The following is an 11,924-nucleotide window of genomic DNA, read 5'->3' as shown; positions in this document are numbered from 1 at the left end:
AACTTAAATAGTTACTATTTCAGGCAACGTAATTTTCTTCACTATTACTTTCCTGTAACAGAGACTTTCTATAAGTTAACTTGCTTTTTTTGTTTGTTTTTGTAGACACTGTTGATTCCATTACTCCTGACAAAGTACGAGGTTTAAGGGATATGCTGAACAGCAGTGCAATGGACATAATGTATTATACTAGTCCACTTTATAGAGATGAAGTAAGTGTCATGATTATCTTGCTGGTGGGTATTTTTTAGTGATAGCTTATAAATGTCCTGAATTTTTACATTTTATGTTTTTTTTAAGCAAATGAGAAATTACAGGAATTCATTAATCTATAAATAGCCTACTTTTAATAAATTTGATAGTCTTCAAACTAGACATTGTGACCCTTAATAAAACAGATGGTCTCAGGTTGGGGGACTGTTTAGAAAATAGTTCTTTGAGACATGACATTTTTCATAAATCTAATTAATTATATCTATGATTGTTGTCTTCACAAAAGAGTTTTAGACATAAAATGTCCTTTAAACTTTTTGTATGTGATGGACTTTTATTGCTTCACTTCTGTAATGAATTCGTACAGTTTTCAAATGGTAGTGGAGCTGATGTCTCCCAAGAGTAACACTGGGGGCGAGAGGTGAAGCTTTATTCAAGAAGATGAGAGAATCTCCACCAAATGCATTCTGTCACTTTATTGATAAGAGGGAAAGGAGAATTCTGTTTAGTAGGAATAACTAACATTTGTTAATTGCCTAACATGTGTGAACTTGTTTAACCCTTATTTTAAAAAATCCTGTGAAGTAGGTATGATTAGTATCCTCATTTGAAGGATGAGGAAACTGATGCCAAGAGAGGTTTTGAGGCTTGCTCATTGCATCTCACTTAATAAGTGGCAGAGCCAGTATTTGAATCCAGGCAATACAGCTTCACAGCTTACTCTGTTTACTGCTTCTCTCTTCTGTGTTCACAATATAGCCAGTCTCTCTGTTATTTATTGGCTGATTATTTTGACTTTCCTGGGCCTTTAATCAGTAAATATTTAGTGAGCCCTACTCTATGCCAAACACTAGCTAACAGGGGGCCACTTTACTGCAGACTGTTACCCTTCATTAGCAGGGAGACAGGGAAAATCAGTGCAAGTGTTTGAAAGTGAGATAAGTCACTTTGGTAAAATTTATTTATCAGGAATCCCAGGTAAGATTTGATAATATATACATATACTGAATCAGCTGGTTAAAGGTGTTTTGAACTAAGAATATGGTCTACATGTTTATTGAAAATTTGTTTATTGAGAACTTACTACGTATAAGATACTGTACAAGGATCTTGTACAAGGGGGAGTCTGTGCCTTCAAAAAAGTTTAAAATATTACAGTACATAGGGCCACATTTATGAAATGTATGGAAGGAAGAGATAACCGTGGAAATATTTGCAATTATTCTTTTTTTTCCCTCTGAAAAAAGCATTTACACTTATTGTTATAGTACTTAAGATAAATTACATTTCCACATTGCCTCATAATCATATATGGCCCCAATTTTTGTTCTAAAAACCATGCAGTAGAAATTATTTTTTGCCAATTGTATATGGGCTGTAGAGATAGACTGCTTGATTCCAGTCCCACTGTAACACTTAATTTTTGTATGGCTTCTCTATCTGCAAAGTGGATATTCTAACAAGTAGCTACTTCATAGCATTCTTGTAAAGATTAATTGAGGTAATGCTTATATTAACATGTGGCACATGGTAGTCAAGAGTTACTGTTATTACAGGTACTATAATATCAAATCATTTTAGTTTCTGAATTCTGAGTAAAATTCTCCAATGCTGAAACAGATGTGTTGCTGCCTGTAGATCCCTCTGCTTTCATAAGAGAAAGAAGGGTTCGATGTTTTCTCTGGGAGCTTTCTTTCATCAGTGTTTTTAATCTAAAAATATTCCTAACTAAGCTTTGAAAAACTAAGTATGGAATGGATTCAGTGTATATGTTTTCTGTACAAAGATCTCAGATTTCTTAAGGTTTCATAACCTGTAACTATTTTTATAATAGACATGTAAAGCATTTCAGAGTTAACAGGTTTATTTTGTATGTATTAACTTATAAATTTAATTTGCCAAATATTTTCTGAGCACATTTTGACACATTTTCATTTTTATAAGCTAGTAAAATGACATAGATTTGGCAAAGGAAGTAACAGATAGTGTTGTGTCTCATTTCTCCCCAATATTTTTATGTTCTTGAGAATGAAAAAAGGAAAAAACAGTTCTATTCCATACCCCAATTCTATCTTCATAAATTCAAGTGAGCAATAACAAGGTTCTAACCCAAAATAGTATCAATAGGAATAAAGAGAAGAGATGGATTCAAAATATGATAGAATTAAGTGGTCTTGAAATGATTTGTTATGGATGATACAGGAAGAGAAGAGACAGATGATGCTTACAATTTCTAGCTTAGGCAACTGGTAGATTGTTCTGATATTAACTATAAACGGAGGAAAGGGAACCAGATTTTTGTAGGGGAAGAGAGTAGAACATAAAGAAAATAATGAATTATACTTGCAAATTTTTGGTATGTTTACGATTTCCTTCTGGAGTTTTATAGCACAGAATATAATATTAAAAGTAAAACCAGTGAGAGTGGAGGGAGGAGGATATCAGAGCACATGTTACCATACAAATACACATATGTGCATATATATGGTTGGTGGTACCCCTAAGAGGGCTCAGAGCTCTGGCTGTTGGCTAGTGGTGACTGAGCAAATGGTCACTTTCTGTAATGCTCTTATATGTGGAAAGATAACTATCCTCAGAAAGGAACTGAATAAAATAGATAGTAGGAAGAGGGAACCAATGGCTATGATAAATGGGGGGCAAAGGGAACACCCAGTCCTTTGAATTAGTCTTTTGATCCAGATGAATTTCATGGGAGAGCATGAGAACTGGTGACTGAGATTCATCAGCAATCTTTAGCAGTGATTTTCAAACATCCCTGACTAGAATCATTTCATACTCATTAAAAATAACAGCAAAAATAAACCCAGGGCGGGGGTGGCAGGTACTGGAATTTGAGGGTACCATTGTAAATTCAACAATTTCTAAAATATGCATGTGTGTTGTAAGTATTACTTATATATGTAGGTGAATATGTATATATACAGGCATACCTTAGAGATACTGTAGATTTGGTTTCAGACCACCACAATAAAGTGAATGTCACAATAAAGCAAGTCATGCAAATTTTTTGGTTTCCCAGTACATATAAAATTATGGTTACACTATACTATAGTCTGTTAAGTGTGCAACAGCATTGTGTCTAAACAGATATGCATACCTTAATTTAAAAATACTCTATTGCTATAAAATGCACACAGACATGAAGTGAGCACTGTTGGAAAAGTGGCACCAGGGTTGCCACAAACCTTCAATTTGTAAATGCAGTGTCTACAAAGTGCCATAAAACAGGGTATGCCTGTTCATGCATGTATTTCCTAACTTTGTCCATTAAAGTGGCCAATAAGCAAAGACACCCTAATTGAGCACACCTAGCACCCAGATCTTTTCCTCTAGCGCTATTATTTCCCACTGAGGAAAACCAGGGTTCCTCAGGAAAATGGCTGATTCTGGGGCTGGGACAACTTGTTATGACAGAAGGTAGGAAGATGCTCAAGAGAATCATGGGGTAGGTCACAAGAACACAGGGCCAAATTAAGCAGCTCACACTGGCCAAATCTGGAACATTTGAGCACCAAAATTATTATTTATAGATCATTGAAAAAATTATAAGTTCATATTGACTATAAATAAGCAAATAAATGGGGAGAAAGGAGAATCCTTGCTTACAGTAGAATGCCAAAGGGCAACTGATGGAGGGAATCCTGGAGTTGGAAAACCATTTTGCAGCTATCATGGTAGGATTAGGTAAGAGAAGACTGGACACAAATCATCGATGGATACTAAATTGAAGGCAGTATTTTGATGAGGAGCAGGATATTTACATGGTCTTAAAGTATATCCCCACAAACTGATAATTCGTTTAAGAAAGAGCGACAATAATCATACACTGGAGAAATCAAGCAGTACCTAAACTGGGTATTCCTGAGGAGCAGATGGACATTATGCACCTCTGGATGTGACACACACAGGAGAACACATCACTTTACAGTATTCTGACAATGAGAAAACATCAGACAAACACAAAATGAGGATGTTGTAATAAAAAGTAGCAATGAGACTGTATTCTGTAAAAATATTATTATCAGTCTGGGTGTAGTGGCACACGCCTGTAATCCCAGCCCTTTGTGAGGCCAAGGTAGGAGGATCACTTAAGCCATGGAGTTCTAGACCAGCCTGGACAACATAGCCAGACCCTGTCTCTACCAAAAATAATTTTTTAAAAATTAGCCATGTATGGTGGTTTGGGCTGTAGTCCTAGCTACTCGGAATGCTGAGGCCGAGGAGGACTGCTTGAGCCTGGGAGGTCGAGGCTGCAGTGAGCTGTTCTCACACCACTGTACTCCAACCTGGGTGAAAGAGCAAGACCCCATCTCAAAAAAAAAAAAAAAAAAGTATCATAAAGGCCGAGTGGCTGCGGAAAATGTTCCTGATCAAAGGATGCTAAAGAGACATGTAGCTAAATACCGTATCTCATCCTGAACTGGATCCTGTACTGGATAGGGGAAACTGCAATAAAAGATATTATTAGATACGCTGGCAGAATTAGAATGTGGATGGTAGATTAGATGAAATATTATATCAAAATAAATTTATAAAGTTGATTACTATGATTATAGAAGAGAATATTCCTAGTTTTAGAAAATATACAATGAAGAATTTAGGGGTAAAAGATCATGACATATATAATATATCCTCAAATGATTCCCAAAAAAGGTGACGGTTTATGTGTTTATCATAGAAACAGAACAAGTGAATAAAGCAAATGGAATACAATGCTAACAATATGTGAACCTGGGTAAAGGTTATATGAGTGATCTTTGTGTTATTTTTATTTTGCAACATTTTATATATTTGAAATTATTTTCAAATAAGAGGCTGGGCAGGGCACGGTGGCTGATGCCTGTAATCCCAACACTTTGGGAGGCCAAGGCGGGTGGATCACCTGAGGTTGGGAGTTTGAGAGCAGCCTAACCAACGTGGAGAAACTCTGTCTCTACTAAAAATACAAAATTAGCTGGGCGTGGTGGCACACGCCTATAATCCCAGCTACTTGGGAGGCTGAGGCAGGAGAATGGCGTGAACCCAGGAGGCAGAGCTTGCAGTGAGTTGAGATCACGCCACTGCACTGCAGCCTGGGTGACAGAGCGAGATTCCATCTCTAAAAAAAAAAAAAAAGAGGCTAGACATGGTGGCTCATGCTGGTAATCCCAGCACTTTGGGAGGCCGAGACGGGCAGATCACTTGAGGCTGGTAGTTCAGACCAGCCTGGCCAACATGGCAAAACTCCATCTCTACTAAAAATAGAAAAATTAGCCAGGCATGGTGACAGGCACCTGTAGTCCCAGCTACTGGTGAGGGTAAGGCAGAAGAATCTCTTGAACCCAGGAGACGGAGGTTGCAGTTAGTCGAGGTCACGCCATTGCACTCCAGCCTGGGCCACAGAGGGAGAGCCCATCTCATTTAAAAAAAAAAAAAAAAGAAAAGGAATAGTTTCCCGGATCTCCCAGAGATTCTCATTTGGTGGTTCTGAGATGGAGCCTGTGATTTTGTATTTTTAACAGTTCCCCTACTTGATACTATCCTGGGAATTCTGGGAAAACACTGCTTAAGGCATGGTGAAGAACAAAAGGGGTGCTTCCTAAGTGAGAGGTGGGCAAACTTTTTTTTTTTTTTTTTGAGACAGGTTCTTACGGAGGCAGGAGTGCAGTGGTACGATCTCAGCTCACTGCAGCCTCTGTCTTCTGGGCTCAAGTGATTCTTGTGCCTTAGGCTCCTGAGTAGCTGGGACTACGGGCACGAGCCAATACACCTGGCCAATTTTTGTGTTTTTAGTAGAGACAGGGTTTCACCATGTTGCCCAGGCTGGTCTTGAACTCCTGACTTCAAGTGATCCTCCCACCTCGGCCTTCCAAAGTGCTGGGATTACAGGCGTGAGCCACTGTGCCCGGCCTATTCCTATTTTTAAAAAAGAAAAGTTGATTCTGTAAATTAAAATACATTAACATGGCATTGGTGTTAGGCAATATTCTAGGATAAATTATTTAAAAGTATATGTTTCCTTAGGGAAGGAATGATTAGGACTAAGTCACATGCCTGGTGAATGAACCTTGTTTGGTTTATTTGTGAGGCATTTGAAAGAGCCTTTTTCCCCCTTCTTCTCTGAGCCTTTGTAGTCAAATAGATGCAGATTCAAAGCCTGCCACTTCTGTAATCCCAGCACTTTGGGAGGCCAAGGCAGGCAGATCACTTGAGGTCAGGAATTCGAGACCAGCCCAACCAACATGGTGAAACCCCGTCTCTACTAAAAATTCAAAAATTAGCCAGGCGTGGTGGTGCACACCTGTAATCCCAGCTACTCAGGAGGCTGAGGCAGGAGAAGCACTTGAACCTGGGAGGCAGAGGTTGCGGTGAGCTGAGATCACGCCACCACACTCCAGCCTGGGCAACAGAACGAAATTCCATCTAAAAAAACAAAAATAACAACAACAACAGAAACCTGCCACTTAACCAGCTCTGTGATCTTAGATCGAATTTCTCACTTTCTTAGCTTCCCCACTTATAAAATGGGATAAAATATGTACTGATAAAATTTGTCATTAGGATTAAAAATGAAATGTGTATAAAGTTTCCGGTACAATTCATGGTCCTTAGACATTCAAATTATGATTGATTCTGTGTATATTTATGTCTTACAAGGGCCACCATATTTTTAATAGACTTATTCTGTTAACTCTAAAAAGTAAAGGTCAGTGGATAGAAAATATGGGAAGGAACATGTTTGTTGACTGTAATGAACTTTGTAGTAACAAAGCTGTCTCTAAAGATAGAAGTGGACACTTTAAAATGGAGATATGCACTAAGGTAGAGACTGAGTGACCACTTCTCAGGGATGCTACTGAAGGGACTCCTACCTTCACAGCAGTTTAAATTAGATCATTGCTGAGGTCCCTTTTAACTCTCAGATTCTTACATGCTCATGGGAGAACCCTAATGATTTTCCTAATAATTTCTGAAAAGTCATGGTTAGGGGAAAAGTTGTGTATATCAATCAGTACTTCTCAGATGACTTTCTGAGGACCAGTTTAAAAAATCAACCAAAAAAGTTAATTTCAGACTATCAAGAGATCATCAGAGAGCCTTTGGCCCTTACTTCAACTCTAAAGTAACACAAGAAATCCAGAGAGACCTGTACATCTTGTGTAAATCTGAACTCTCTTTTTAATAGCTTTTAAAATTGAAGAATTGTAAAGAGAATTGTCCTAGCTGTATCTTGACATTATTTGAATTATTTAATTGATATAGATGACTAGAACTCTCTCAATTACATTTTCTCATTACAATTTCTTGAAGCAGGGAGAACAAAGGACTAACTCTATTCCTCAGCCATATTTTGTGTATTTGGACTCAACTCTTGAAACTGCCGGGTTTTTCCTCCTTACGTTCATTTCCTTCGTAAATTTTAACTCTTGAGCAGTGGTTATGGAAATTAGAAATTGTTTTAAACTTTTGAAAAGCTATCCAGTGCTTACTGTGTAAGAGGTTCGTTGAGTTGATTAGATCATATTGTAGACCTAATAGATAATAAAGTTAAGATCACAGTATATATTGTTAATCTTGGCTGAGATGTCCCAAATGAATACACTTGGTCACAAAGGGATCCTAATTAGGAGAATATAATTGGATCAGAAAGGAGAAGGAAAAGGAAAAAAAATTCCAATTAGAGTAAACTCGTTGGATACAACATAGAAATGAATTTCTCCTTTCACTGATGAGCGGATGAGATACAGAAGCATTTAGAGGTAGTACAAAGCTGTTTAAAAAGTTGGCTTTCAAAATCATAATGTCTGACCATAGATGTCTCATATATATGCATAAGCAATAGAAAAAGAAAATGCTGTCAAATCCAGATATGCTCTAATAAGGAAATACAAAGGCCATTTCTCTTCAAGTGTATAATTATTAAAACAGATGACATCATCAAGGTCTTCAGAAACTGTCCATGCTATGCCTCATTCCATAGTGAAATATTTTAGTATCAAATAGACTTTCTCTGCCTTAGATAATTTGATCTTGTTTTTTTACCCATATATGATTGCCAAACTAATGAAGTATTTGGTGTAGTGAGAGATGTTTTAAAATTTTTGAATATGAAATAGGTTAATTACTGGTAGTGTGATTTCCTTTTTTAACAAACTTTAATATGGGAGTAAGCTGGTATTTTATAAAAACAAAAAGATTAGGTATGTTTTGTCAGAGTACTAAAGTATATATCTTTTAGTGCTTTGAGATTTACATGGTACAAGTCTTAAAATCAAGGTCTTCAAAAATAAAAACGATTAAGAACTGTTGCTTTTAAAGGAAATTATTTTATCTAAACATTAGCCTTCTCTGTACCTACCTCATGTAGATTGTAAATCAGGAAAATAATGAAATTTTAAGGATTGGTTGATATTCTTATCAAAGCCAAATCCAAAGCATATTATAGCTCCTTTCAGACAGAGCCATGTAGTATTTCACACTGCATATTCCTGAAACTATGTTAATTAGAGTTTTACTTAAAACCCATGTCTTAGAAGATGTTTATGTACATTGCCATTAAATCAGTAGTTTGTAAAGTGTAGGAAGAAAGAAGACTGCCTTAAAACTCAGATCAGGGCCCAGGATGGGTTTGAGTAACAAAAGAACCTTATTCTTCTGACTTTATGGAATATTTCAGTAATATTTGTTAAAGCTTAATTTCAAAGAAAGCACTTTTACAAAGAAAAATTACGAAAATACTCCCCACATTATTAACCTCTAAACTTAAAATAGCCCTGCTTTCCAGACATAGAAAACAACTTTTTACTTTTATATCTGTATTGCCAACTTAGTGGGAACTTTGAAATACCCAGTAGATCAACTTTTGTTTTTTCTTCAATCATTCAGTGGCCTTTTATTACATTACTCTATCTAAATGCACAATAATTTATAATATGTTAGTATACCTATTATCATAAGCCCAGATACTCATTTTCTAAAACTTACTGACTAAAAACTACAAGGTACAAAAATTTAGAATTGCATGTGGGTAAGTTACAACAAAAAAGAAATTTGCGGGGGTCTTTGAAAATCTTATTGGTATTTGCATAGAACTTTGGTTTTTTTTTTTTTTAATCTATGGAACTGCTGGCTTATACAGTTGGTTTAAGGACTACAGAAGGATCTATGTAGGTAGTATCTGCCTATGTTCTTAGTGATGATATGGATTATAATAGTATGTATACCTTACTTCATTCCTGCAAGATTTTGAAAGACCTAAGTTAATTTTAATAACCTAGGTATATTTGATCGGTAATGTATGTTTTTCTACCTTAATGTATTTGAGTTTAGAATAAGTGTATAGTAGTCAGTGACAAGTCTAATATGATAATGTTTTCTTATTTCAAACAGCTAGTTAAAGGCCTTCAGCAAGAGCTGAATCGATTGTATTCCCTTTTCTGTTCTCGGAATCCAGACTTTGAAGAAAAAGGGGGTAAAGTCTCAATAGTATCACATTCCTTGGGATGTGTAATTACTTATGACATAATGACTGGCTGGAATCCAGTTCGGCTGTATGAACAGTTGCTGCAAAAGGAAGAAGAGTTGCCTGATGAACGATGGATGAGCTATGAAGAACGACATCTTCTTGATGAACTCTATATAACTAAACGACGGTAAAATATCCTCATCTTTTGAAAAATTTTTAAATGTCTTTATGGAATTACTGGACCTCTTACGAGAAAACTAAGAATTTCATGATAAAGAAATAATGCATTGTTCAAGATACAAAGATTACTATATAGCATGCCTAATCAAGCTGGAGACTGTTGATTTTCATGCTAATTACATGCATTTTCCTGTAGCATAAAATAAATTCTTTTGTTATTCTCCTTGTTTTCCTTTCATCGTTTCTTCACAGTTTGTTAGGAGTGAAATTTAAAACTTATTCCAAGCTTAGTCACTGCATAGAATCCTTATTGAAAATGTTTACCAGTTTATAATCCTTTGTAGTTTTACTGACCTTTTGAGGTGGGTTTCTACCTTTCTTATTATTCTGAAAATAATTTTTAAGTGCTTTTTTTAAGCAAATATATTTTTTTACATGTTATATGTATAAACATAATTATATGTGTTATATAATTATAAGATTTTATTATTTAATCATTTGTGGCCCTCCTGATACTATCTTTTAATTCTTTGCTGCATTCCTATCTTCATCTCTAGTTACATGCCTTATCTTCTTTGTTCTCTTTATATGATTAATTCTAATATAAAAATGAAAAATCACTCATTTTGATAATTTACTAGCATATTAAAACAAATGTGCTAATTGACTAAAATTTTTACTAGTTTTGTTTTTGTCTTACAGATGTTAACTAAGGATTTCATTTAGAATCTTATTAAGTACCATAGGCTAGACACACAAATATTATAGTGTCAAAATAATTGACAGGTTTGAAATAAAATGTCATGTTTGGCAATACTCGGAGCAGCATTTTAGATGTATAAATCCAGTAAAACTTTAAAAAAAGAAAAAAAAAGCATGGAAAATAACAAATTTTTTTTTTTTTTTTTTTTTTTGGAGACGGAGTCTTGCTCTGTTGCCCAGGCTGGAGTGCAGTGGCACGGTCTCAGCTCACTACAACCTCTTGTCTTCCAGGTTCAAGTGATTCTCCTGCCCCTGTCTCCCCAGTAGCTGGGATTACAGGCAACTGCTACCACGCCCGGCTCATTTTTGTATTTTTAGTAGAGATGAGATTTCACCATGTTGGCCAGGCTGGTCTTGAACTCCTGACCTTAAGTGATCCACCCACCTGAGCCTCCCAAAGTGCTGGGATTCCAGACATAAGCTACTGCGCCTGGCCAACTATAGCTTTTAAAAAATAATAATGATAATAATAACTTAATTCCATAGTTTACTAAATGTAAGTAGCTATGAAACATTGTAATTGAAAATGATGTTCATCAACAGAAGGGTTAGACTATATGGTTCACCTGTATTTTGGACAGTCATAGTTGTTACAAAAAAAAAATTGAAGTAGGTCAGGAGGCAATGAAATGAAAAGATCTCTAAACTCTTAAGTATAGAAAAGAGAGAACAGTATATATGGTATTAACCATTTGGTATAATTTTTTAAAAGATGTATATGTGCTTGTATATGACTCACATTTTACTACAAAAAAGCTGTTAACAGCAGGTATCATGACAACTAGCGGTACTTTACTAATTATTTCATAAATTTTTATATACTTTCTGTACTGTGGCAGAGACATTTATTAAATACTGTCAACCAGGATTAATGTGAGGGATAGTGGGCCATCATCTGCGTCTTTATACTTTAGTAAGCTAGCAAGCATCTAATATTTATGAAATTATAAATACGTGTGTGTATATAATCTCATACCCCTTCTTAGGCTGAAGGAAATAGAAGAACGGCTTCACGGATTGAAAGCATCATCTATGACACAAACACCTGCCTTAAAATTTAAGGTAAGGAAAGAGCAATGTGTTCTTCAACATTGATCTCAGTATTTTTTTTAACGTCATGTGAAATATGCCTTTAGGATTCAAATGAAAGTTTATTGTTCTTTCAAAATAAATATTTATTCAACATATACTATATGTTGGACACTGCCATTTCTGGTTGTACAAAGAAAAGAATAGACAAGTCAGTTCCCCAGTCCTCAGGTTATATGGCACAGTATTATTGATGCTATTATCAGTATACAGA

The 11,924-nt window shown here is 35.7% G+C and overlaps 1 protein-coding gene across 10 annotated transcripts in view; it reads left to right on the top strand.

Moving 5' to 3' along the window:
* The window catches only part of DDHD1 (DDHD domain containing 1), a 116,569-nt gene that overhangs the window by 80,515 nt on the left and 24,130 nt on the right, over positions 1-11,924 (top strand). For all 10 annotated transcript variants that reach the window (XM_017021669.2, XM_005268105.3, NM_030637.3 and 7 more), the window contains 3 exons: positions 106-212; positions 9,604-9,866; positions 11,608-11,683. In XM_017021669.2, coding sequence (XP_016877158.1) covers positions 106-212; positions 9,604-9,866; positions 11,608-11,683 — 446 coding nt within the window. The remainder of the gene's footprint in view (positions 1-105; positions 213-9,603; positions 9,867-11,607; positions 11,684-11,924) is intronic.

Source organism: Homo sapiens, chromosome 14, assembly GCF_000001405.40.
Source record: "Homo sapiens chromosome 14, GRCh38.p14 Primary Assembly".
In the NCBI taxonomy this organism is placed as follows: domain Eukaryota; kingdom Metazoa; phylum Chordata; class Mammalia; order Primates; family Hominidae; genus Homo; species Homo sapiens.
Note: the sequence above shows the minus strand (reverse complement) of the source record. Positions and strands in the feature narration are given on the sequence as shown.